At 37.8% G+C, this 27723-nt stretch overlaps 2 protein-coding genes, 1 non-coding gene and 1 pseudogene across 19 annotated transcripts in view, besides 5 other annotated features; 2 read left to right on the plus strand and 2 right to left on the minus strand.

The window, feature by feature from the left end:
- The window catches only part of COPS2 (COP9 signalosome subunit 2), a 32873-nt gene extending 23775 nt beyond the window's left edge, over positions 1 to 9098 (minus strand). For both annotated transcript variants that reach the window (NM_004236.4, NM_001143887.2), the window contains exon 1: positions 9024 to 9098. In NM_004236.4, coding sequence (NP_004227.1) covers positions 9024 to 9077 — 54 coding nt within the window. In that variant the 5' untranslated portion in view covers positions 9078 to 9098. The remainder of the gene's footprint in view (positions 1 to 9023) is intronic.
- Positions 8844 to 9373: an enhancer, noted in NCBI's record as "active region_9385". NCBI's record gives its function as "activates an Ori minimal core promoter by ATAC-STARR-seq in GM12878 lymphoblastoid cells {active_cell/tissue: GM12878}" and the evidence as "EXISTENCE:reporter gene assay evidence [ECO:0000049][PMID:35858748]".
- Positions 8844 to 10050: a biological region, named in NCBI's record as "NANOG-H3K27ac-H3K4me1 hESC enhancer GRCh37_chr15:49447830-49448748".
- Positions 9132 to 10050: an enhancer, noted in NCBI's record as "NANOG-H3K27ac-H3K4me1 hESC enhancer chr15:49447830-49448748 (GRCh37/hg19 assembly coordinates)". NCBI's record gives its function as "activates a minimal SCP1, AML or CMV promoter by ChIP-STARR-seq in primed H9 embryonic stem cells {active_cell/tissue: H9 hESC(primed)}" and the evidence as "EXISTENCE:reporter gene assay evidence [ECO:0000049][PMID:30033119]".
- GALK2 (galactokinase 2) overlaps positions 9273 to 27723 on the plus strand; it is a 211967-nt gene continuing 193516 nt past the window's right edge. For 8 of the 15 annotated variants that reach the window (XM_047432347.1, XM_024449892.2, XM_024449894.2 and 5 more), the window contains exon 1: positions 23515 to 23857. Coding sequence is in view for 4 of the 15 variants with exons in the window: in NM_002044.4 (NP_002035.1) it covers positions 23822 to 23874 (53 nt within the window). In the remaining 11 variants the exon portion in view is untranslated. Of the gene's footprint in view, positions 9516 to 23514; positions 23875 to 27723 lie in introns of those variants that run through there. The other 7 variants (NR_147895.2, NM_001289030.2, NM_002044.4 and 4 more) reach the window with 2 other exon arrangements.
- On the plus strand, positions 9797 to 12124 carry NDUFAF4P1 (NADH:ubiquinone oxidoreductase complex assembly factor 4 pseudogene 1; annotated as a pseudogene). The gene has a single exon (NR_036507.1). The product of NR_036507.1 is annotated as an NADH:ubiquinone oxidoreductase complex assembly factor 4 pseudogene 1 (transcript).
- Positions 22569 to 22652, minus strand: MIR4716 (microRNA 4716). Its single transcript, NR_039866.1, has one exon. It is a non-coding gene; the product is annotated as a microRNA 4716 (primary transcript).
- Positions 23158 to 24062: an enhancer, noted in NCBI's record as "OCT4-NANOG-H3K27ac-H3K4me1 hESC enhancer chr15:49461856-49462760 (GRCh37/hg19 assembly coordinates)". NCBI's record gives its function as "activates a minimal SCP1, AML or CMV promoter by ChIP-STARR-seq in primed H9 embryonic stem cells {active_cell/tissue: H9 hESC(primed)}" and the evidence as "EXISTENCE:reporter gene assay evidence [ECO:0000049][PMID:30033119]".
- Positions 23694 to 23933: an enhancer, noted in NCBI's record as "active region_9386". NCBI's record gives its function as "activates an Ori minimal core promoter by ATAC-STARR-seq in GM12878 lymphoblastoid cells {active_cell/tissue: GM12878}" and the evidence as "EXISTENCE:reporter gene assay evidence [ECO:0000049][PMID:35858748]".

Consider the following 27723-nt stretch of genomic DNA (forward strand, 5'->3'; position numbering starts at 1 on the left):
AAGATAAATGGAAGTTTGCCCACTAGACAAAACAGGAGAGGATAAAGAGAATAGTACACGTAGTAACAGCATAAACAATGAAAGGTAACTATTTGTTGGAACATAAAAATCCTTATTGACTCTACCTTCAAAATAAATCTCAAATCTATCCACTCCCGAACCCCCTGCCTGCTACCACCCTACCCTACCCAACTACTTTCATCTCTCCACAAACTTTAGCAGCCTTCTCATTCTCCTTTTTAAGTTCTAATATCCTCATGGTTAAGCAGGTGAAATAATTTTCACAAAATGTAAATTATCTTATTCCTCTCCTCAAAAATGGTTCCTATTCCTCTTAAAATCGAGAGCAAAATCAGCAAAACTTGACTCCTGTGTCCAACCTTATCTCCTATCTAGTTCTCCCTCATTCACTTTGCTGCAGCCATCCTGGCCTTAACTCAACAAGTGCCAAATTCTCCCACTTTTATGTGCTATTTCTCTCTCTTTCCACCTCTACCTCTACCTCTCTTCATCTAGTTAACTACTGCTTATCATTTCAGATCTCAGCCTAAGGGTATTCTTTAGGGAAGACTTGGAGTAAAGAATCACAGCTATAAAACCTACTCTATGCCTTCGGAAATCAGCTCTTTTCTAATTGTTTTATTAAGTTGGAACAAATATAAACAGATTTACCATATATGATTTATCATACAATAACTAAAATAAAAACTTCACTTAACAGTGTTGAATAAGATAGAGGAATAGCTTGCTGAACCAGAAAATTACTTTTTTTTGCAACCCAAACCTTCAGAATGCAGCCTTGAACCTGGAAGTAAAATGAAAAGTATTTCTGATTTACATTGATCACAAAGTAAAAATTCAGAGTCCATTTATTTTTGGTTTCTTGGCTCAAAACAAATTAGAAAAAACAATTAGGTCAGGTTTCGAGAAGAGGAAAGTAGAAGCTGAAAGGTATACATGACAACAGTAGGACTAGTATTTTGGAGCTTCCCAGCAAATGAGAAACAGTATTTTAGAAAGGGAAGAGATTAACTTCAATTATCTGGAAATTACTGAACCAATTATAACATTGTTAAAAACAGGATCCTTGACATTTCCTGTCATATGTCACACAGTGTCTTGTCATTCAGTCACGGAATACTTATAATAAGAGTAGTTACCTGTAACTTCTGGGACCTGATAGATTTCAGATAGAGATTTCTAAACTTTAGATGTTACAACTCCAAAAAAAAAAAAAAAAAAAAAAATCACAATGACTGAGAAAAGATTTGATTCAGCCCTCTTCGTTTTGTGACTACATTCTTTTGGTTTTTCATATCATACGGATTAAGAAATGGCATGTATAATGTTTTTGCATAACTGCAATTCAACTCTTAAACAAATGTTATTGCTAAAATATATAAATACATGAGAATCGGCACAACTGATGTTCTACTGATTGACTACAAATAGACAGTTCCTTGTTATGATCTGCAACGCCATGTTCGTAGGCTTGAACCAGCCATCATGACATCACTAACCCATCATTTGCACCCCACTGAATCAATTATCACAAGCTGTGCACTACTGCAAATTATTCTTCAGTTATTACACAGGCATAATTTTTCAAACTCATGTTTTGAAGTCTTTGGAAGAACAATTCTATTGTTTAGGTGCTTCTACTATTTATACTCAAAAATCATGATCTTTAATATATGCCAGCAATTAATTATTGCTCACAGAAATCCAAATTAACAACCCTTCCCCTCAAGGTATTCATGGTCTATTAAGGAACAGATATGCAAACAAAACCGTAATATAATATAATATAATATAAGCAATAACAGACACACATACTAAGTCCACTGGCATCTCAAAAAGGAGTAATCAACTACTTCTGAGTTAGAGGAAGGAAAAAGATACCCAAGTCAGGTATAAAAGTATGAATAGGAATCGCCAGCAATGAGGAAGGGCAGCTGAAATAAAGCAATTAACATGCAAATGCAAGGAAGCTTGAAACAGTATGAATAGTTTGGGCTGAAGCACAGGATGTTATGTAAAGGGCTGATGAAAGATGAACTGGTATTGAACAGAGGAACAGGACAACAGAAGTCTTACAAGGAGATGAGATCCAATAAAGAGCCTCTAAAAGATTTTACAAGGAAATAGTCAGATTTGTGTTTCTGGAAGCAATGAAGAGCCCATTGGATAATCTTAAAAGTCTGGCCAGGAGCTGTGAAGGCCTGACTCCAAGAAGCAGAATAAGGAGAAAAGTTAGGGGACACAATAAATGATGGAATAAACACAGAAGATGTTAAACAATGTTAAGGATGTAAAATAAAAGTGCCCATATGGGCACAAGATAAAGGAAAATAAAGTTATCCATAATGACTATCAAAGGCTTGGTAACACATGATGCCATTACTCAGAATAGGAAATCTAGAAGTATTGAGTAAGTATTGCTAAACTGAATTAGTTACGTCAAATGAAAAAGAGATAATTTGTAAAAGTGTAAATGTTCTTTAACAGAAGAGAAAGTGAAATTTTAATTAGTATATAAAGAATGCTTTAAAAACAAATGAAGAGGTTAAGCAAATTATGAAAAATAATCAAGCACTTGTTTTACAAGAACAGTTGTAAAAGGGATTAAAAATAAAAAAACCCCCTAAAGTTCAATAATAGTTCCAACCTACTCATGTCCTGTTATTTCCCCCAAGCAATTTGTGATCCATCCACACAACCAAAATCTACTCTTTCTCAAACATGCCACACAATTTTAAATCTCTGCTTTGGCATAAACTGCTCTTTTTGCTAGAATTCTAAACCACTTTCCCTCCTAACAAACTTTCTGATTTTCTCCTAAGATACTCCCCTGCCCTAATACTGCTGGGAAATGTGTTCATCAACTCATCTTAGCATCACTCTTCTTAGCAAACTAAATTTTTTTTCTCAGTCATGCTTCCATATGACATGCATCTCTCTAACATAGAGCTTTGTATGTTAAAACAGTCCAAATTGTGAACTTCTCAGAAGCAGGAACTTTCTTATTCATCTGTGTATTCTGAGAGCCTGGGATATTACAAAACGCTTAGTGAGTGTTTGGTGAGTTAAAATAAAAGGTGGATAAACATTCCAAAATAACACAACACAGAGCAGCCAGGGTCAATTTTGACTATATCTGGAATGTCGCTACTGCTGAACAGGATCAGTTCCATAGCTCATTTACTTACTCTTGTATTTACCGCCAATAGAAGTCCTAAGAAATGTACTTTAGGAAAACAATACTCACCATTAACAATGCTTTCTGAGTCTTGTCTAACAGCTGTACCATATGTTGGCACACTAAGAGGTACATGGCAGTTGTTTCATTATCCTTAAAAACCAGACACGATTCAAATCCTAGGTAGCCATTTATGGTTTAGCTACTGATAAAGTTATCCATTTAAAAAAATTCACACAAGTTAATGGGTGCTGATTTGTTAACTATGGAGTAAATTAGAATTAAAAAACAAAACAAAACAAAAAAACTGTCTGCTGGGCACGGTGGCTCATGCCTGTAATCCCAGCACTTTGGGAGGCGGAGGCAGGTGGATCACCAGGAGTTCGAGACCAGCCTGACCAACATGGAGAAACCCTGTCTCTACTAAAATACAAAAAATTAGCCGGGCATGGTGGCGCATGCCTGTAATCCCAGCCACTTGGGAGGCTGAGGCATGAGAATCACGCCACTGCACTCCAGCCTGGGCAACAGAGTAAGACTCTATCTCAAAAAAAAAAAAAAATAAATAAAAATAAAAAAATAAATAAATAAATAAAACCATTGATAATTTATTTGCAGACATTTTTCTATATTTTTCCCACCTAACAAAATTGGGATAATATGGATTATACCGTCTTTGATATTTTTTGAACTTAACATTTATATTGAATACATGTTCGCTATGTACATAGCACTGGCAATCGACCATCATCTTTCTACTGATCTTTTTATTAAAAGGATGACAAATACGAGAGTCTGTAAGAGATCCTGTAGCTAAGACTCATTTACCTCCCCACTGCACACAAAAAAATAGACAAATAAGTAAAAATGTAGAGCATTAAAACTGCTATACCATAAAAAATAATGGCAACATGGGTGGAGCTGGAGGCCATTTTTCCTACCCAACTAATGCAGGAACAGAAAACCAAATACTGCATGTTCTCTGTTATAAGTGGGAACTAAATGATGAGAACTCATTAACACAAAGAAGGGAACAGACACTAGGGCCTGCTTGAGAGAGAAGGGTGGGAGGAGGGAGAGCAGCAGAAAAAATAACTATTGGATACTTGGCTTAGTACCTGGGTGATGAAATAATCTGTATAATAAACCCTTGTAATACGAACTTATCTATATAACTAACCTGCACATGTACCCTTGAACCTAAAAGTTAAAAAAAATAAATAAAACTGCTATATATTAAGACAAGAAGAACAATACTAGTAAACATTTATCCCCTAATCCCAACTATGAGCTTGACTAGGGGAATATAATGAGGCTCACAGCTGGTCATATGGTCATATATTTAACCAAGTGGAATTATTCTAACTTTTAGACAATGTTTTCCTTGTAATACATTTAAATAATTATATCCAAATATAGGCCAGGCGTGGTGGCTCACGTCTGTAATCTCAGCACTTTGGGAGGGCGAGGAAGGCCAATCACCAAAGGTCAGGAGTTTGAGACCAGCCTGGCCAACATGGTGAAACCCTGTCTCTACTAAAATATAAAAATTAGCCGGGCATGGTGGTGGGTGCCTGTGGTCCCAGCTATTCAGGAGGTTGAGGCAGGAGAATTGCTTGAACCCAGAAGGTGGAGGTTGCAGTGAGCCGAGATCATGCCACTGCACTCCAGCCTAGGCGAAAGAGCACAACTCTGTCTCAAAAAAAAAAAAAAAAATTATATTCAAATATATAATATCCTACATATAACAGGACTTACTAAAGACTAATTTTTGGAATAAAGTCAATTGGTCTTAAATTCTTTCTAAAAAGATTATTAGAAGTTTCACGGTAGAACGATTGGACTGCGGAATTAAAACAGTTAGCTTATCAATGGCCTTACCAACTTAATGAATGGCACTATGATTATTATTTAGTGTTACTGGATCAGCAAATAATCTATAAACCTGTAAAATTAGCATTGCATTAAATGTCATTTACTAGCACCATCACCTACCACAGATTACTATGTTTAGAAATGCCTGCTTCTGCCTCTAATGAAAATCAAACAGATCTTAGAACATACATGATCATGCATGTATGTTGAATTTCTTTTATATTCGTTTCTTTTTTTTTTTTTTTAAATAACAAGTTTGTTTTATTTTAGATTCTTCTTGGGCAGAAATCATTATTTACTTTCTTGGGTAAAAACAGTACAGTTTTAGAAACAGACTTAATTTTTCAGGTGGTATCCTAACTACCTATTTCTACCAGATTGGGGAAGAACAAAGTGATTTAGGGTGTTAAAATATATCATTGGACGACCAATAAAGATATGCTGAGTATCACTGTGGTCAGCAATACTCACTGCTCTTAGTTAACACTTTAACTAAAACGAGGTGATGATCAATTTTCCAAAAAACAATACATTTTTTATAAAAATAAATCTTGAGAAAACAAGTCAATTACGCACATTTTTTAAATACTAAGAAACATAAAAAAAAAAAAAGAAAATCCCAGACAAAATAACTATTTTAAAAAAAGAAAAACTCTTTTGGCAAAAGGTAAGCATGAAATGGTAACCTGCTTCATTAATCTTTTTTTTTTAAATATATGATTTAAGGAAATGAAAAACAAATTACTAAATAAGTTTTATGCCACCAAAAGTTTTAACTGTTAGTAAATTGATCATAAATAATTTTACAATTAGACACCTGATGAGAGACAGATGAGGGGAGGAAGAGCTATTTAATAGAACGCTAGGGAAAGAAAAACAAAAAACCCAACAGAAAACTCCAACATTTCATTTCATTATGTGGTAGTGCAAAATCTTACTTTAAGAAATAAAAAAGTTAAAACAAGGCTGGTTGTGGTGACTAACACCGGTAATCCCAGCACTTTGGAAGGCTGAGGAGGGCAGATCACTTGAGGTCAGGAGTTCAAGACCAGTCTGACCAACATGGTGAAACCCCGCCTCTAATAAAAACACAAAAAATTAGTCAGGTGTGGTGGCAGGCGCCTGTAATCTCAGCTACTAAGGAGGCTGAGGCAGGAGAATCGCTCGAACCTGGGAGGCGGAGGTTGCAGTGAGCTGAGATTGTGCCACTGCACTCCAGCCTGGGCAACAGAGTGAGACTCTGTTTCAAAAAAAAAAGTTAAAGCAATTATATATTCAACTTCATTTTACTGCTCATGTAGCGTAGGCCCTAAAAGGCTGGGAAAATATGACCAAGTTAAAACACTGTATGTTTAATAAAAAATCTTGCAAAAGTTAATCAAGTACTTCATGGGACAAAAAGATTCTCACTGCTATTGCTACATTACATTCTCAAAGATGATCATCAGCTTGATCACAGTGCTAATAAGTTATGTATCCAACAGACTATTGCTTAGGAAAGAGGTAAGCAGAAACACTTACAAACACAAACTAATAATACAAATGCAATTTCTCAAGAGATGACATACAGCTGGGCATGGTGGCACGTGCCAGTAGTCTCAGCTACTTAAGAGGCTGAGGCGGGATGATTGGTTGGGCCCAGGAGTTTGGGCCCAGCCTGAGTAACACAGCAAAATCCCATCTCTAAAAATATATACATGTGTAAATAAATAAAGAAGACATACAAATGGCCAACACATACATGAAAAAAAAAAAGGTCAATATCACTACCAAGAAATGCAAATCAAAACCACAATTAGAATGGTTATTAATCAAAAAGACAAAAAATAATAGAATGCTGGCAAGAAAGTGGAGAAAACAGAACTCTTCTACACTTTTGATGGAGATGTAAATTAGTATAGCCATTATGGAGATTTCTCAAAAACTAGAAGTAGAACTACCATAAGATCTTGCAATCCACTCCTGGGTTTATCCAAAGGAAAGAAAATCGGTCTATTAAAGGAATACCTGCACTCCATGTTCATTGCAGCATTATTCATAACAGCAAAGACAGGGAATCAACCTAAGTGTCCATCAATGGATAAACGGATGAAGAAAATGTGGTATATATACATAATGGAATATTATTTGACTATAAAAAAGAATGAAATTCTGTCAGTTTGCAGCAACATGGATCTGGAGAATTAGGTTAAGTGAAATAAGCCAGGCACAGAAAGACAAATATCACATGTTCTCACTCAGATCTGGGAGCAAAAGAAGTTGATTTCACGGTGGTAGAGAGTAGAATGATAGGAAGGGTGTTGTGGGGGGAAGAGGAGTGGGGAAGTAAGAGAAGTTGGTTAATGGTATGTACAAACCAACAGTTAGATAGAAGGAGTAAGTTCTAATGTTTGACAGCGGAGCAGGGTGACTATGGTTAAAACGTATTTTATATTTCAAAATATCTAGAAGAGATGACTTTAAATATTCCCTAGACACAGAAATGATAAAAACACAAGGTGATGGATATCCTAAATACCGACTTGATCACTACATATCCTGTGCATGTAACGAAACCCCCCATAAATATGTACAAAATACTATGAATCAATTAAAAAAATACAAGCACATATAAAAGAAACATTTTGATAACAAAACACCTGTAATATAAATAAACAGGTAATAAGTAAAAATGGACAGATACATATTCTTAATGAACTGAAGTCACTGCCTACAACTGGCTTGCACAAACTAAAATGTAAGGTAGAAACCATAACTATTAGCGAAACTACATTTAACTTTAAAAATTATAAAAATCTCTACTATGACTTTCAAATAATAGCGAGAATTTCCTTTCTCCCTTTTGCAAAGTGTGCCTTATTTTAAAATGCAAAAAACTGAAAATATATACGAAAAAGTTATAGACTAATTCAAAACAATGTATTAATATTTTGACAATCTCTGGCACTTAAAATGAGTCAGACGTCCCAAAACATCTATTTCGTAACTTTATGATAATGCAGCATCACCATAAAAGAACCATATGAAACACCCCCAAAATAAAGAAACACAGCAAAATTGACGTTAATTCTGGATCAAGATAATTTTCTGAGTTTCCACACGATGTTTTTGAATAGCAAACGTTATTCAAACTTGCAAATCCATTAATAAATGAAGCTTTGAATCTTTAAAAATCTCCATTCGGTCAGAAAAATTCGTTTATTTCTATGCTGTTGCTGTTTTAAACTTTGTATACTGGGAAATTTCTAAGGGAAAAGCCATGGGTTCAATTATCTTTCACCCGTCCTCCAAAAACACCACAAGCAAAACCTCCTCCCCAGCTTTTCTTTATAAAGAACTGAAAAAGTGGTTCGACTACCTTTTTTTCAGTTATCTTTGCTCTGAACTCTCCCCTACACACTTACCTCGGACCAAAACTGGCCCTGGCAAGACTATTTAAGCTATGTCTCCAGGAGACTCACAAGTTGCGTTTCGCAGTCAGGCCTGGGAGCAGTAAGGACACCCCCGTTTTCTGACTTCTCCTAGCATTTCGCACCCGCTCAGTTCCAGTGTGAAGAAGTGGGGGCCCGGAACGCTGGGCCCGAAAGGGCAAAGCCAGGGCCTACACCGCAGCATGGTCACCGAGGCGGCTAGCGCGGTGGGGAGGCAGAAGACAGAGAACCGAACGCCTGGGACCAGGGGCATCCGTGTAAACCGAAGAGGCGCTCAGACTCGGAGGGCAAGGCCCGGGGCCCCCTTCGCTGCCTCCTTTGCCCTCCCTTCCCCCATGCTGGAGAAGCAGGGCCCGGGCCCGGTGCGGGAACGGGGAGGAGGTAAACCAGTCCTGTCACCGCACTGAGAGAGGCTGTAAACGGCACATGCTCTACGGGGAGAGGCCGCGGGCGCCCCGGCCCGGACCCCGAAAACAAGACACATCACCACCCTCAGAGTTCCATTCCCTGCGCCTCACCAGGTCGTAGTCCTCCTCATCATCGCACATGAAATCATCCTCCATGTCAGACATCTTGGCCGGGAGGGGGAGGAGAAATTGGAGACAACCTCCTCCCACAATCCTCCGCGGCTCAGAGGCGTCACTCTCAGCTTCTTTCCGCCTTCCAGTCCCTCTTAGAGGAGCTGTTTCCTGCCGGAACTAATTATCTCGACTTGTAGCTGATTCGCTACGACTCCAAAAGAGACTGCACCACCCCCCGTTTCCTCCGAAGTGGTTGGTGCCTTAGCAACTAAAGCTGGCAACTGGGACATCGTCCGGTGCTGCAGGTCTCAGCCGAAGGGCGTCGGAAACTGCGCTCGCATCGAGCAGTTTCCAGCCTCCTGGGTAAAGGAGCAGTCTCCTCCCTTGCTTGGGACTCTGGACGCATCTCATTCCGGTGAAAGTAAGGGACAGCTTAGGACCAGAAGCCTTTCGCGGAGAAAAGGCTGACATGCCCGTCCTATATGACAGGTATTATTTCTGCTATCATTGTACGTGTGCATTTAGCCCACACATTGCGGTGGGTGTTCCTAAGATACTTGGAGTACTTTTCAGCAACACAGTTTACACTTAATGCTTGTTATATTTGTAGTTGACAAAACAATTCTATGGATATCCTAAATTAGGTATGCAGCTATCAGTTGAGTTGCCTTAAATCTTACTCAGTTGTTCAACGAGTTGTAAACTGACCTTTACAGCCCTTGGGACCAAATTAAGGTAACAACGACTGGTTTTTAAAAAATACATTACTGTGAACCTGAGGGCATCATGTTGTAAGGAGATGGGGGCTGCGGTGACTCGCGGGATCAGGAATTTCAAGAGAACCGAGCGGAAAGGGAAATCCGCAACATGAAGCCCTCTCTCGCTCCCAGGCACCCCTCTACCAGCAGCCTCCTGCCAGAGCAGATTAGTCTCTATCCAGAAATTAAGGGAGAGATTGCTCGTAAAGATGACAAGCTGCTGTCATTTCTAAAATATGTGTGTGTTGATTCCAAAGATCCTGTGTCTTCCGTGCAGCTGAAAGCTGCTGAAACACGTCAGGAGCCAAAGAAATTCAGATTGCCGAAAGGCCATCACTTTGATATGATAAATATTAAGAGCATTCCCAAAGGCAAAATTTCCACTGTAGAAGCATTGACACTTTTCAATAATCATAAACTTTATCCAGAAACATGAACTGCTGAGAAAATAGCGCAAGAATATCATTTAGAACAGAAAGATGTGAATTCCCTTCTTAAATATTTTGTTACTTTTGAAGTCAAAATCTTCCCTCCTGAAGACAAGAAAGCAATACAATCAAAATGAAGAAAATCACAAAAATTTCCTATGTGTACTCCTCATCCCTCATCCTGTATATTTTCTTATTTTTGCATATTAAATTATGTTAATTACCAAGTGTTTAATGCTCTCATTGTGAGAGCATCCTCTTAATATTTATTGAGCTCCCTGAATTTTCAAGATTGCCATAGACTGTATTTTGTTTTCTTTTAATTTGGTTTAGGCATATTTCATATGTACATGTTAGCATGACTAATCAGCACATCTGTACCTTTATTATAAGTAAAAGAGTTAATTTGTTATTTTAGACACATCATACCAACTTTTAAATTGGTCATATGACCCCTTGGGAAGTGTCCTGAATCCCTCATTTAAGTTTTCCTATCCAATTTAGGTGTTTAGTTCATTCTTCATATGTGATAGTGAAAGTAAAAGCTTTCCTGACTCTTAAGACTGACATTTTCTTGCTAGGGAAAGAGACTCGATAGTAAGGTAGACTAACAGTATTTCCCAAATAAAGGCACATAGGAGAAAATAAAGAATCAATAAAATCTAATTAAAATTACTACCCCAGGGAATAAGAAGTATTGAGGATTTATTTTATTTTGAATTGGTTTTAAGTATGGAATAATTGTCTTTACAGTTATAAAAAGTAATTAGTGGTGTTTACGAAATGTTGGGAATTTCTGCTTTGACAAATAGTTAAGTCCCATGGCCTTCAGAGAGAGAGGCAGTAGTAGAAACTTTCGAAAAAGTAACATTTCTCTGGATTTAACATGGAACTAGAAAAATTTAAAGAATAATTAAAAAACCATGGTAAATGAAATTTGGTGATTATATATAGTTTTGGATGTTAATGCTAGTTGAGAGAAGAGAGAAAAAATAGCAAGTAGAAGCAGAGAACAGGATCATTGGAAGGGACCTGAGAAATTGCTGCTTTATCCATTTTAGCAAACTTATTAGCACGGCATGTACCAGTACTAGGATCTTGAGTAAGAGTGTGTGAGTTTAGCTCTGCCTAATATATTACTACTTGTGGGATCTTTGGGAGACTATGTCCTCTTTGAGATTGAATTTCTTCTATAAAATGAGCATAATGCTACCTTACTTAAATTTAAGGGTTATCATGAAGATAAGTGAAATAGTAAAGGACTACAAAAGACCAAGGGAATAATGAATTTTTTTTTTGTAGTGGAGAAACGCCTGGGGAGAATATATGACCTAAGGTTTCTGTAGTTTATGACCTAACCAGGCCCAGAACTTAGTTTTTCAAATCCTAGTAGTGTGTTTTTTCTGATGTGCCAAAAAGCAGCACACCTCAGAGAAGGGAATAAGTGTGAATTGTGGGTATATTGGGGTTATCAGTGTGCTTCTGAGGGAAGATAGGCATCACTACTTCCCAGAGATGCCCCTGGAAATGATACAGAAGATGCTAAAGAATTCAACAAGATGACGGAATGAGGCATTTGTAGTAATGCTGAGAACAGAAAAATGAACTAAGTGGAAAATTTGTAAGCATGTCTTTGAATGTAGATTGGTTAGGTGAACAAACTACCTAGTTTATTTTTAGTTCAGTACAATAATTGTTTTAAGAAAACATGAAATAACTACTCAATATAAAATGCATTTTAAAACTCCTGTAAATCAGTCAAAACTTTATTCCATTTGTCATAATGGTAACTAGTTGAGTCACTAATACTAGTACACTCTTATTTCTGAGCCATCTTTATTCATATCTACATTGTGTGGTTAGGCAGCTGTTATGTGGTATCACATGATAAAAGATTTCTTCCCATACCATTAAAAAAATACTATTACACAAAATCATTGGCAGAATTCAAAATAAAGAAAAAAATGAAATAAAGGGGAAAAACTGCTTTTCAAATAGGTAGCATTTTCCACGTAAACTTCCAGATCTGTCCACGTGACTCCACAAATGGTTATGTAGTTAAGCATATAGATTTGGATTATTTTTGCATCTATGTAGCAGCATAGGTCAATATTTGGTTGTTTATATTTAGAGACAAGATCTTGCTCTGTCACCCAGGCTGGAGTGCAGTGGCACCATCATAGCTTACTGCAGCCTCGAACTCCTTGGTTTAAGTGACCTTCCCATCTCAGCCTCCTCAGTGGCTAGGACTTCAGGTACATGCCACCATTCCTGACTAATTTAAAATATTTTTTTTGTAGAGACAGGGGTCTCACCATGTTGCCCAGACTGGTCTTGCAATCCTCCCACCTCAACCTTCCAAAGCACTGGTATTACAGGTGTGAACCACATTGCCCAGTCTTAAAATATATTCCTAATAATAATTATTTTAGTGGCTGTGTAATAATCCCTCGTTGAATGTACCCGTGCACCATAATTCATGCCATTATTGTTATACATTCAGAGTATTGCAGAAATAACACTATTTTAAGCAATTCTGCAGTGAATATCTTTGAAATTTTATTCTTTAAAAAATAATTCCGGCTGGCGCGCTGGCTCACGCCTGTAATCCCAGCACTTTGGGAAGCCGAGGCAGACGGACCACCTGAGGTCAGGAGTTTGAGACCAGCCTGGCCAGCATGGCAAAACCCTGTCTCTGCTAAAAATACAAAAAAAAAATTATCCAGGCATGGTGGCGGGTGCCTGTAATTCCAGCTGGAGGCTGAGGCAGGAGAATCTTTTGAACCAGGGAGGCAGAGGTTGCAGTGAGCCGAGATCGCACCATTGCACTCCAGCCTGGGCGACAGAACAAGACTCTGTCTCAAAAAAAAAAAAAAAAATAAAATAAAATAAATAATTCCAAGAAGAGAAATTACAGGCTTGATTCTTTTTTAGTAATTACTTGAATTGACACCTTTTTGGTCATAGTTCTTTTAAGTTATATTTGTGACAATAATGTGTTCTCACCTATACATACAAATGTTTTTCCCTAACAGTCTTCTTCTCAATATTTTATTATGATAAATTTCAAGCATACATAAAATTGAAAGAATAGTATAGTGGACATGTATATACCCATTATCAGCTTTGATTGTATGTATGTGTGTGTTCCCTGTATCAGTTGAAAGGATTCGGATATCATGACACATCACTCCTAAATGCAGCTGTGTCTGTTTCCTAAAAATAAGAACATTCTCCTATGTAATCACATCATTATTACATATAAGATTAATAATACTGGCCAGGCACGGTGGCTCGTGCTTGTAAACCCAGCACTTTGGGAGGCTGAGGTAGGTGGATCACCTGAGGTTAGGAGTTTGAGACCAGCCTGGCCAACATGGAGAAATCCTGTCTCTACTAAAAATACAAAAATTATCCAGGCATGGTGGCACATGCCTGTAATCTCAGATACTCAGGAAACCTTAGGCAGGAGAATTGCTTGCATCTGGGAGGTCGGGGTTGCAGTGAGCCAAGATTGCGCCACTGTACTCCAGCCTGGGCGACAGAGTGAGAGTTTGTCTCAAAAAAGAAAAAAAAAGATTAATAATAATTCCCTATCATTCAATATCCAGTCTATATTCAAAATTACCATATTAAATGTATAACTTAGAATTGGAAGAGCCTTTAATGATATCACTTTACAGTATAAGGCTTCCCAAATCCCACAGTAGAGATTCTGATTCAGTAGTTCTGAGTGGCATTCAGAAACCTATACTTGTAACTTTACAACAAAACAAACCTCCCTGTACCTGGGATGACTATACATCCCAGTTTTCCTGGGACTGATCTCGTTTACTACTGTTGACCCATCATAATAGTAATAGTACCCAGGCCGGGTGCGGTGGCTCACACCTGGAATCCTAGCACTTTGGGAGGCCGAGGTGGGTGGATCACGAGGTCAAGAGATCGAGACCATCCTGGCGAACATGGTGAAACCCCGTCTCTACTAAAAATACAAAATACAAAAATTAGCTGGGCGTGGTGGTGTGCGCCTGTAGTCCCAGCTACCTGATGCTGAGGCAGGAGAATCGCTTGAACCGGGGAGGTGGAGGCGGAGGTTGCAGTGAGCTGAGATCGTGCCACTGCACTCTAGCCTGGTGATAGAGCGAGACTCCATCTCAAAAAAAAAAAAAATTAATAGCACCCATCACTTTCAGAAGTTAGACAGTAAATCACATGGTTACTCTACTTTTAATTGTTCAAAAGAGAAAATAGGATCCCGAGGTAGTTAAGAGGTTTATTTGCTCAGAGTAATCAAAGTTTCATAGTTTTACTTTGTACTCAAGATAGCAGTTGCAAAATGGATAATATGCTTAACAAATGCATACTGATCACATATATGAAACTGCATGTTGATTTACATTTAAATATATTGCATAATTTGCTGCTTTTAAATGTAATGCCTTATTCCTACAATGGGAAAATAAGTATGCAAATAAGCTGGTAAGTAGGAAGACTGGGTGAACGGCAGCTAAATTTTGAGTATAATTTCCTTGGCCATGACCAAATTTATTAAGTCTAGTCTGGAAATTTACTAACAGCAGTTGAAAAGGTCTTCACTGTGCTGAGCATGCTGCTTGAGTACACAGGTGCTAATAAGTGCTAGTTGGATAAATAAAAATGTTAATAGATTAATCTTTCTGTATCACACATCAAAATATTTTTCTGTCCTTAAAAATCCATGTAAATGTGACCTTATTCACATAGCCTATCCTGAATACTTTATACCGTTAAGATACTCTCTTTTATTTTTTCTTGACATTAATTTTATTCAATGGTAAATAATAGAAAATTGTAATTTTAACAGAGTGTATTTGTGTGACATGCTGCCCTTGTTGAAAGTGGATCCTATGTTTTTAAAACATATTTTCATAAAATGGCATTATTGAGGTATTATTCAGTAGCTTCATTTACCTCAATAAGGTAAATTAAGCTGCACATACTTAAAGTATAAAATTTATTTATTTATTTTATTTTATTTTTTGAGATGGAGTCTTGCTTTGTTGCCCAGTCTAGAGTGCAGTGGCATGATCTCGGCTCACTACAACCTCCGCCTCCTGGGTTCAAGCGATTCTCCTGCCTCAGCCTCCCTAGAAGCTGGAATTACAGGTACTCACCACCACGCCCAGCTAATTTTTGTATTTGTAGTAGTGATGAGGTTTCGCCATGTTGGCCAGGCTGGTCTCGAACTCCTGACCTCAGGTGATCCACTCGCCTTGGCCTCCCAAAGTGCTGGGACTACAGGCATGAGCCACCACTCCCAGCCTTAAAGTATAAAATTTAATGAACTTTGACATATGTATACACCTGTGAAACTATCACGACACAAGATAATGAACATATTATCACTGCAAAATTTCCTCTCAGATTCCTTGCAGAAATTTCTCTCCTCCCCCCTTAACTTTTCCCAGGTAACTGCTGATCTACTTTTTGTCACTATAGATTAGTTTACATTTTCAGGAATTTTATATAAATGGAATCATGCAATATGTACTCTCATTTTCCTGGTTTCTTTCACTTAGTATAATTATGTTGAGATTTGTCCAGGTTGTTGCATGTATCAGTTGGTTGTTTCTTTTTATTGCTGAATATTCATTACATGGATATATTACAATTCATCTTACCCATTTATCTGTTGATAGATATTTTAAGTTTTTTTCAGTTTGTGGCTAATATAAATGAAGCTGCTAAGAACATTTGTGCACAAGTTTTTGTGTGGACATATGTTTTGTTTCTCTTGGGTAATTTATGGTAGACAGACTCTGGTGGCTACCCATTATCTATTTCCTTGAATAATTCTTTGCTTTTTGAGCGTGAGTGGGATCTGTGACTTGCTTCTAACTAAAATACAGCAAAGGTGATATACGTGATTATATATACATGATTACATTATACAAGATTGTTAAGTCAATCCTGATAGGAAAGATGATCTCCTGTGCTGGCTTTGAGGAAGGCAAGTGCCCATGTTGGGAAGGACAACACAACAGGGAGCTGATGGTGGCATCTGGTTAGCAGCCAGCCAAAAAATAAAAAATATGGTCTTAGTCTGACAGCCCACAAGGAACTGAATGCTGCTAACAGCCATGTGCTCTTGGAAGTGAATCCTTCCCCAGTTGAGCCTCAAATAAGCCTTTGTGAGACCTTAAAACAGGATGGAAAATTGTGAGATAATAAATGTGTATTTATTTATACTACTACATTTGTAGTAATATTGTTACGCAGAATAGATGTGAATGCAGTTAGTAAATATCTTGTAGTGAAATGGTTGGGTCATATGGTAGGTATATATTTAACTTTTTAAGAAACTCTCAAATTGTTTTCCTAAGTGGTTTTACCATTTTGCATATCCAACAGCAGTGCATAAGAGTTCTAGTTGCTCCACATCCTTGCCAACATTTAGTGTGGTCAATCTTTTTAACTTTAGCTACTCTAGCAGGAATGTAGCAGTATACTATTGTAGTTTTAATTTGCATTTACTTAATAACTAATGTTGAACATTTTTTGTGTGCTTATTTGTCATCTATGTATCTTCTTTGGTGAAATGTTTTTAAATATATTTTGCCTATTTTTTAAACTGGGTTGTTTATCTTATTACTGTTGAGTTGTAAGAGTTCTTTATGCTTTTTGTGTTGTATTCATCTTTGTCATACCTAAGGGCGCTGAGATTTTCACTTATGTTTTTTTCTGGAAGTTTTATATAGTTTTACCTCTTCCATTTAGGTCTGCGATCCATTTCAAATTTAATTTTCGTGTATAGTGTGAATGAATGTGGAGGTTCATTAGTTTGCATATGGATGTCAAATTGTTCCAGCATCATTTGTTGAAAAGATACGCTTTTTCAATTGAGTTGTCTTGGCACCTTTGTCAAAAATCCAATGACAGTTTAATTGTCAGCATAATTTGATCCTTTTAAAATATATTTTTCATAATTGTATGCTACCTTGTATTACAATTATTTCCATTTATTCATTATTAAACAGAAAGCTCCTTGAGGACACAACTGTCTTTCTTACTTCTGAATTCTCTGAAATGCAGCATATGCCTTGCTTATAGAAGATTCTCAATGAAAATGTGATGTGTTTAAGTAAACTTTAGCATTCATGACTCTTCACAGGCCTTGGCTGAGTCATACCAAACAGGTTTATGATTTGGCATCCTTTCAGACCAATCATCTTTAAAATTTTTTTTTACTATATTAATTTGGGGAGACTGAACACTGTGTGTTAGAAGAGCAGAAAAAGAGGACTCCTTTTGTATTAGTAAAGTTCTGGAAAGAAAACTCGTGGCATACTCAGGGAAGTTAACTGAAAATTTAATTAAGGGACTATTTATAGAGATGGAGGCAGGGTTAAGGGAATCAACAACTACTTATACTAAGCCTTCAGAATGCTCCAGACTGCAATTATATCTTTCATCTCTATAGTTGACATAGGAGGAATATGCTAATACAGTATGATTAAGCATTGAAGGGGTTCAGAATATGCCACCCCAAAATATGCTACTTTGGCCTAAGTATTATTTTGAGCCGAAGCCAATTGACAACCAGTAGATGCAGTTATGTCAGTCACTGGAGAGCATTAGCAAATGTATTCCAAAAAAAAAAAAAATTGCTTAAGATAATAACCACAATCAGCTCCTCATTGAGGTGGGCAACATTGGATGGTTATGACAAGGTGAGGAAAGAATTGTCTAGTTTGAAGATTCTTGGTACTATATTTAGTTTCTAGGTGAAGAAATAAAAAGGAAGGCTGGGCATGGTGGCTCATACCTGTAATCGCAGCACTTTGGGAGGCCAAGGCAGGTGGATCACCTGAGGTCAGGAGTTCAAGATCAGCCTGGCCAACATGGTAAAACCCCATCTCTACTAATCATACAAAAATTAGCCGAGCGTGGTGGCGCATGCCTGTAATCCCAGATGCTCCGGAGGCTGAGGCAGGAGAATCGCTTGAACCCAGCAGGCGGAGGTTGCAGTGAGCCGAGATCATGCCATTGCACTCAGCCTGGATGACAAAAGCAAAACTCCGTCTCAAAAAAAAAAAAAAAAAAAAAAAAAAGAAATAAAAAGGAAAAAACAAAATATAGTTTTAAATTGGGGCAATTTATCTGTAGTTTGGTCAGGCTAATGTACACTGTAAGCTTGAAATGCAAATTTCTAATTTCAGAGTCTAAATATTTGTTTCTCAGATTTCATTTTGATGATGGAATGTATACTAGATGCAGAGTTTGCATCAATTTTTGTAATATATTCATTTATTTACTTAACTAATTTTAATTTGCCATAATAGCAGGAGCTTTTTGTTTATGTTTATTGTTGTATCCCCAGTGCCTAGAATAGTGCTTAGAACATAGTAGCACAGAGAAACATTTGTTAAATGAATGAATGAATGATAGAATAATGGATGAAACATGGAATATGAATTTTAGTGGAGGTGACAGGTAATAAGTATAAAAATCAATAAATAATGTAATTTCAGATGGCCTTAAAGACAGCAAACCAGATTTAGGTGATAGAGAATAACTGGAGAGAATGTTGGGATGGTTTTTAAAATCTTCATAATAACCCTATGAAGTAGGTATTTTTATCTCCCTTTTTTAGAAGAGGAATTTCAGACTTGCCTAGGGTCACAAAGTAGTGGAACCACGCTAATCTGATTTCATTAATTTATTCCTTCATTAAACATTCCTTGAGTGCCTGCTCAACACTGAGCCAGAGTCTATAAAATCAGAGTAAAACAGTCTTTGCCTTCAGGGAGCTTATAATCTAGCTCTGTGCTGTCTAATATAGCAGCCACTTGTTTCTCATCATAATTGAGATATGCTGTAATTGAGATATGCTGGATTTTGGAGACTTATTTAAAAAAGTAAAATGTCAATAATTTAAAATATTATATTTAAAATGATATTTTGGTGTATTAGATAAAATATATTATTAAATTTAACATTTCTTTTTATTGTTTTGAAAGTGGCTTCTAGAAAATTTAAAATGGCATGTTTGACTTGCATTGTAGATTCTGATTCAGTAGGTCTGGGCCCAAGATAATGTATTTCTTTTTTTTTTTTTTTTTATTGAGACGGAGTCTTGCTCTGTCACCCAGGCTGGAGTGCAGTGGTGCCATCTCCGCTCACTGCAAGCTCCGCCTCCCAGGTTCACGCCATTCTCCTGCCTTAGCCTCCCGAGTAGCTGGGACTACAGGCGCCCACCACCACGCCCAGCTAATTTTTTGTATTTTTAGTAGAGATGGGGTTTCACTGTGTTAGCCAGGATGGTCTCGATCTCCCGACCTTGTGATCTGCCCGCCTCGGCCTCCCAAAGTGCTGGAATTACACTGCGCCCGGCCCAAGATAATGTATTTCTAAAAACTTTCAAGTGACGCTGATGCTGCTGTTCTGAGGACCACACTTTGAGTAGAAAAACTTAGACTAGACAGAAAACAAGTAATTAGAGTACTGATGTGATGCTTTGTATGACTGGGCAAGCAGAGGGTGCTTAGAGTCTTCGTTTTGTTTTGCTTTGTTTTTCACTCTGCAAAACAATCTATGTTCGGTTAAAGCATTTTTGCACAATTTTTATTTCCTCCATAACTACATAAATATAGATTTCTCTGATTCATGAGTTTATCTTTTGCCATTTAATGATTATATACACTAGAGAGCAGTATCTATTTTATGAACAGAAGAATAAGGGGCCGGGTGCAGTAGCTCACGCCTGTAATCTCAGCACTTTGGGAGGCCGAGGCAGGTGGATGGCCTCAGTTCAGGAGTTTGAGACCAGCCTGGCCAACATGTTGAAACCCCATCTCTACTAAAAATACAAAAATTAAGTGGCAGGCACCTGTAATCCCAGCTACTCGGGAGGCTGAGGCAGGAGAATCACTTGAACCCGGAAGGCGGAGGTTGCAGTGAGCCGAGATCGCGCCATTGCACTCCAGCCTGGGCAACAAGAGCGAGACTTGGTCTCAACAACAACAACAAAAAAGAAGGAATGTAACATCATTATAAAGAAGACATAAACAAGTATTACATATTATTTACTATAATGAGAAAATATCCAAAATAGGTCACTGAAGTAGATTCTCCCAATTGTGAACAATAGTTTTTATTGTAAGTCAAAATAGGAAATATTTTCCAGAGGTTGCACAAACAGATTAAACCACAGAAATAACATTATTTCAGATAAATGGTCAATCCCTCTGTGGTCTTAGACATTTAGTTTTGGGTAGAGAACATGGAAAACTTCCTGAAGGAAGTGATTTCTAAGCTGAGAAACATCAATAGGCACTAGCCAGGTCTGTAAGTCTCTAACACCCATGCTTTAACTCATATTTTGGATCAAGTTTTTGTATTCTTTCATTTTAGTGTTTGTTTTGTTTTTGTTTAGTTTGCTATAATATTTTATCTGAATGGAGACTAATATCCTTTGAGGAGAAACAATTTCAAGTTTATTAATTAGGTTTCTGTTTAAGACTCCATCATAATATACCATTTATTAGTTTATAATTCAGATTCTAAACCTATTGTAAGAGTGCCTACTTGCAAAAAGCAAAGAACCAGAGGTTCAGGATTTGTGAAAATAAAAATACTGTAAAATATAAATGTTTAAATATTTTCTTTTCTTTTTTTTTGAGATGGAGTTTCGCTCTTGGTTGCCCAGGCTGGAGTGCAGTGGCGTGATTTTGGCTTACTCAATCTCCATCTCCTGGGTTCAAGCGATTCTCCCGCCTCAGCCTCCCAAGCTGCTGGGATTACAGGCGCCCGCCACCACACCTGGCTATATTTTTGTAGTTTTAGTAGAGATGGGGTTTCACCATGTTGGCCAGGCCGTTCTCGAACTCCTGACCTCAGGTGATCTGCCCACCTTGGCCTCCCAAAGTGCTGGGATTATAGGCATGAGCCACTGTGCCCAGCCAAATGTTTAAATGTTTTCACTATTAGATATGTCTAATAAGAACTAAAGGAATATCTTCTTGAAATTGAAAAGGAAATAATATTTTTCTATCCCATAAGGATTGTTGGAAAGGTTTAAAGAGACAATAATATACGCAAAGTGCTTACTTAGCAAGATGCCTAGTATAAGGAAGGTAGTATAAGAAAGTAATGTTTTGTTTTTGGTGTCCATTTGGGGTTCTCTAGTAGTTTGGACAGGTTATTTTAAGAGTAATCCTTTATGAAAATTATAATGTACACATTTTATTTTGGGACAAGGATTCTAATCATTTCAATAATTTATTTTTAAGCACAGTTTACTGGGGTCTCAACAAAAGTCACATATTCAGAAGTAGTATGGCCTCTAGGCTAGGAGTCTAGAGACCTAGGTTTTAGTTCTAGCTCTGTTAATCCTGTTTTACTTTGTGCCAATCATTTCAAAAAAGGATGCTTTACTAATTGCTCTGTAAGGTGCTTTCTAGTCTGCATCGGTTTTGTTGAGACTGCAATAGCAATGTATCCAAGGTCCAAACTAATGATTTGCCATCTGGTTTCATTTAGCAAAGTTAATGTTCGGTCATCAAGTACATATTCAGTAGGAAGTATTCTTTTTCGAAACAGTTTCTACAGTCATTTTTTTTTAACCCTGTATAAAATGAGTTTATTTTGGACTGTTAAAAAAATTCAAAACTTTAAAATTTGTTATTTTTCAACTAATGCAAAAGAATATATTAGAAACATCTGAATAAAAAATGATTCTGGGCTGGGCACGGTGGCTCACACCTTTAATCCCAGAATTTTGGAAGGCCGAGGTGGGCTGATCACCTGAGGTCAGGAGCTCGAGACCAGCCTGCCCAGCATGGTGAAACCCCGTCTTTACTAAAAATACAAAAATTAGCTGGTGTGGTGGCGGCTGCCTGTATTCCCAGCTACTTGGGAGGCTGAGACGGGAGAATCGTTTGAACCTGGGAGGTGGAGGTTGTAGTGAACAGAGATCATGCCATTGCACTCCAGCCTGGGCAACAAAGAGCGAAACTCCATCTAAAAAAAAAAAAAAAGATTCTGTTCTTTTCTGTATTTACTGATGTCCCTAAACATTTTACATTTTTTTTTAAAATTTAGGTTATCTCCCTATTAAAACTATTTACAAGTGACAGTGATGACTCCTGTTACTCAAAATTAAACCAAAATGAACATCAAACTGGGATTTATTGGGGCCCAGAAACAAGAAGATATAATTCATTCATTTGAAAATGATAAAGAGGGACTGAAATAATAGTGAGAAAGCTGCCCTGAGACCAGAGTAACTTTGTTTCTTTGATGTATCATTTACAGTAATAACCCAACGGGGTGCCAAGGGGCTGCCACTCTTTGGCTATGCTTTATTGTCCATTCACACTTTGTCTCCATGTTTCCTTCCCCCTTCCTCCTGTATACATGTATACAGAAGGGGGAAGGAAACATGGAGACAAAGTATGCATATACATATAGAAATTCTGGAGCAGTAACTTACTGATGTATACAACTTATCGAATCTCTCTGAGTTATGCTACTACCCCTAGTGTGTTGGGCATGTTGGCTCAAACTTCCTTAATCAGGAAACTTTGGAATGGGTTTATTGCTAGCTGTCTTTGCTTGGGTTTAATCTCAATATTTCTGAGGTGCAAAGTGCACTAGATTGAGAGTTAATAGATCTGAATTTTAATTCCAGTTTTGTTCCCAATGATCACTGTGACCTCAGGCACATCATTTCACCTTTCGTCGTTCATTCAGTTTATCTTACCTATTCATTAAAAACCAATCTGCCTGCCCCCAGTTGCTTTCTAGTGGTAGTGATGATGGAGGTGGTGAGAGACACAATAAATACATAAGCAAATAGGAGAACTATGAAGGAAGGAAAAGTTAGTGATGTACTAGGGATAGTGTACTTTTGATAGGGCATCTAGGATTTCTCTAGATAAGTGAAAAATGAAGAGGTTTAACTGGATGCTAAGGGGTCTTGCACATTAAAAGGCATGTGTTTCCGTCTTTTCACTACTGTGTTCTAGGAAGGCCCACCAATGCCTCTAACCTGTAAATAAATGCAAATCTATTTAAATCAAGTGATACATCAATTTTATGTTGCTTGATTTGGAAGTAATCCGCAAAGAAGCAATAGCTAAACATTTTAGTGTTGTTTGGGGAGTAGCTGCTGAACAATAAAGACCAAAACCATAACTAAAAAACAAACAAACAAACAAAAAAACGCAGCCCGAGACAGATCAGAAACTAGGTGTATGTAGGGCGCCAGGTTATGACACTGTTCTCTGACATCCACAGGGCGCAAAAAGAAAACCTCACTAGTCAGCTTCGCACGTGCTCTGCGCAGGGGCTCCTGCGAGGCCCTAGTCCCTCCCTGGGAGCTAAGAGCAGGACGGAGGCTGTACCTGACTGCTGCTTGGAGGGAACCCTGGCTGAGTCCAGGGAGGAGGAGCCAGAGGAGGGGCCGATTGGAAGCAGCCACCTCAGCGAAGCTGCAGGATTTCCGCAGGGCGGGAGCTGTTTATCTCCCGGAAGAAAACGGCTCCTGTCACAGAAGTCTCGTGATTGCTCTGGGAGCTTTGCTTAGACACTTGAAACTACAGGAGAAAGAAGGATCTAGCGAAATATGGCTACAGAGAGCCCTGCTACGCGTCGGGTCCAGGTGGCAGAACATCCTAGGTGGGGGAGAGGAGACGCCGGGCTTTGGGATCTGCTGGGTTGGCTACGTGTAGATCGGGTCCACAGCACTTGGCTCCTCCCTTGGGGCGCTGCTTTTGGTCCCGGGGAGCAAGTGGAACCCTTGGGATTCTATAAGGACACGTGGCTGGGCTTGCAAAAAAGATCACGCCGCAAACACATTCTACCTTGACTACTACGAAGGGTTGTATGTTTTTTTCTTCATCCATGCAGATTCTTCTTTTCCTTTTCTTGTTGTAATTAGTGTACTCTTTCTACTGGGCTTCAGCAGAAATGCCCATATCCACACTGAACTCCTCTCTTTGTCTCGCATGCCAGTTGATACTGCTTTTTAAAAGTCTTCTTTCTAAATATTAATTGAAAACAAACACAAAAACCTTCTTGGTGTCTGCATCCTCTTTAAAACAAAACAAAACAAAAACACGAGAATCTCTGAACTGTCACTTAGGGAATTAATTTGCTGGCAGTCCCTAGCTACACAGTAACTAATAGTTTAGTGATGTCTCGGGGAGGATCTTTTCAGTTACAGGTACTTTGTAGAAATACTTCGTTCTGACTAATGGGGCTGAGGTCTCATAAAATGAAGTCTGTCACCTGCTACATTAGCGAAGGGCTTTCCTGACTCTCTGCTTTTGCTGTTTTTCTTTTCTTTTCTTTCTTCCTTCCTTTCTTTTTTCTTTTTCTTTTTCTTTTTTTTTTTTTTTTTGAGACGGAGTTTTGCTCTTGTTGCCCAGGCTGGAGTGCAGTGGCGCCATCTTGGCTCACCGCAACCTCCGCCTCCCAGGTTCAAGCGATTCTCCTGTCTCAGCCTCCTGAGTAGGTGGGATTACAGGCAGGCGTCACCACACCCGGCTAATTTTGTATTTTCATCAGAGATGGGGTTTCTCTATGTTGGTCAGGCTGGTCTCGAGCTCCTGAGCTCAAGTGATCCGCTCACCCTGGCCTCCCAAAGTGCTGGGATTACAGACGTGAGCCATCGCGCCCGGCCCTCTGCCTTTGCTGTTTTCAGTTTTTTTCTGTTAGTTTTTTTCTCTGGCATCAAGTCCTTAAGCTCTTCCTACTTGGTGGTTTATTACCACCGTGTGTCAGTTGATGATATTATACTTTACTACAACTTGAAAATGTTCTTTCATCCTTAAACCAGCAAACAGTGTGTCTTTAGTTACCAGAAAGAAGCATGATTTCTTATTATAGAGTCCAGCACAGCTTTGGACTACTTCTCAATGTCTTTGAATGTTTTAATATACTCTAGAGGTTCTTGTATAGCACTGTTGCCCTTATATATTTGAATTAATTAAGACACACTGTTAAAGGCATGCTTCCAATAAGATTAATGAGAAATTTGTTACATGAAAATAACTTGATCTCTTGTAGTTTAGTCTTATTTTTTTTTTTTGAGACAGAGTCTTGTTCTGTTGCCCAGGCTGGAGTATAGTGGCGCAGTCTCCGCTCACTGCAACCTCCACCTCCCAGGTTCAATCCATTCTCCTGCCTTAGCCTCCAGAGTAGCTGGGATTACAAGTGCCCGCCACCACGCCCCGTTATTTTTTTGTGTTTTTGGTAGAGACGGAGTTTCGCCATGTTGGCCAGGCTGGTCTCCAACTTGTGACCTCAAGTGATCCGCCCGTCTCAGCCTCCCAAATTGCTGGGATTACAGGCGTGAGCCACCGTGCCACGTCTATAGTTTAATCTTCTACATAAAACATACCCATGTGTAAATTCCTAATGTGTTTCCATTTTATGTGATTGTAATAATAAAGATCAACATTTCTATCTATATTTACCCTGTTTGGGGGAGGATGGTGGTAACAAGTATAGGTACATGTACTAAAAGTGAAGAATTGTTTACTGAATTTCCTTAGTGTTCTTCTTGCTTTTCATGATTTTTATATTATTCATGTAACAAATATTTATTGTTAATATTTATTCTGTGTTATCCACAGAAGAGATCATAGTAGATAAGCTCTGCCGTTTTCTTGTTTTTCATTTGTGCACAAAATGCAATTATTAGCTTCAAGCAATGTTTTATTTGCAGGAATGTTTTGCAGCCACTTACTCATTCTAGGAGGGATGTATTTTATTAAATCTAAATAGTATAATCTATAAATTCACCTAACCGGTCAAGTATTGCAATATGCTGAGAAGGAAAAAAAATGAATGAATGGTCAGCCTGCTTTCTTGTGGAACTCTTATTCTTTTTCCAGGATGCCTCTTCAACCTCACAAGGCACATGATCCTTTGAGTAAAGGCACTGGTCAACCATATCATACATTTTAGTAAAACTTAATTTTATTTTTATTATTTTTATGTAAAAATCAAATAGAAATTGAAGTTCTAATATTTTCTTTCTGTGTCCCACTCTTGCATGGTACCGGTACCGTAAGACTCTGAATTTCACTGTTCTGGCTTTCTTTGCATTCTTAGCAGTTGTATCTCTTATCTTTACTTTCTCTTTTGGATTAAGTTTTAAAACTTGTTGGATTATTGCTATTTTTGTAGCAGTTTTATTGACATTCACGTATCATATAACTAATTCATTTAAAGTTTGCAATTAAATGGGTTTAATGTATTCATAGAGCTATGCAACCATCACCATAATCAAATTTAGAACGTTTTCTTAGAAAGAACCCAGCCATCCCTTAGATTATCACACCCCAGAACTCCATTCCCTTTCCCCTCACCTAGCCTTAAACAACTACTGCTCTGTTTTCTGTATTTATAGATTTAGTCACTTTGGGCATTTCAAATGAATGGAATCATATAAAATGTGTGTTTTTTTGGTGACTGGCTTCTTCCATGTGGCATAATGTTCTGAAGGTTCATGTATCAGTACATCATTTAACATGTATCAGTATATCATTCCTTTTTATGGTTAAATAATATTCTAGCTTATGGATATACATTTTGTTTATACATTCAACAATTGATGGACATTTGGGTTGCTTCTATCTTTTGGCTCTTATGAATAATGCTGCTGTATGAACACATTCTTGAGTCTCTATTCTACCAGTTGAGCTAGCAGGGTGACACTGAATACATTTTTAATATTAAAAATTTGGATTATTTAAAAGTATATTCAGTAAAGCCTGAAAATCCCACAGTTTCTTTCCTGATTGTCTCTGATTTCTACCCTTGGCTGCCAATTTCTACTTCTCTTCTTAGAAGTTATTCATTTGGTTTGTATCCTTGTAATATTATTGTGTCCTTATATCATTGTTACTATATTTTATAAAAATGATATATTCACATAAGTCCAATAATTATATTTGTTTTTTTTTACTTACTTTTTTTCACTTAATCTTTCTCAGATATCTGGTATATCAGTTCATACAGATATATTTCACTATTTTTACTTATTTCATTTTATTTTTTGAGACAGAGTCTCGCTCTGTTGGCTGGAGTGCAGTGGCACTATCTTGGCTCACTGCAGCCTCCGCTCTTGGGTTCAAGAGATTCTCCTTGTCTCAGCCTTCCAAGTAGTTGGGATCACAGGAATGTGCCACCATGTCTGGCTAATTTTTGTATTTTTAGTAGAGACAGGATTTCACCATATTGGCCAGGCTGGTCTTGAACTCCTGACCTCAAGTGATCCACCCGCCTTGGTCTCCCTGGGATTACAGGCTGAGCCGCTGTGCCCCGGACTATTTCACTGTTTTTAAGGGCTGAGAGTATTTTGTAGTATGAATACCATTATTTAACCACTCAACATTTAGTACACTTAGATTTCTAATTTTTCTCTCTTGTAAACAATGCTGCAACAAACATCCTTGTGTACATATACATATGTACATATATGTATATATATTCTCTGAGCATTCTTGTGAATTTTTT

The sequence above is a fragment of the Homo sapiens genome, chromosome 15 (genome assembly GCF_000001405.40).
Source record: "Homo sapiens chromosome 15, GRCh38.p14 Primary Assembly".
Taxonomy (NCBI): domain Eukaryota; kingdom Metazoa; phylum Chordata; class Mammalia; order Primates; family Hominidae; genus Homo; species Homo sapiens.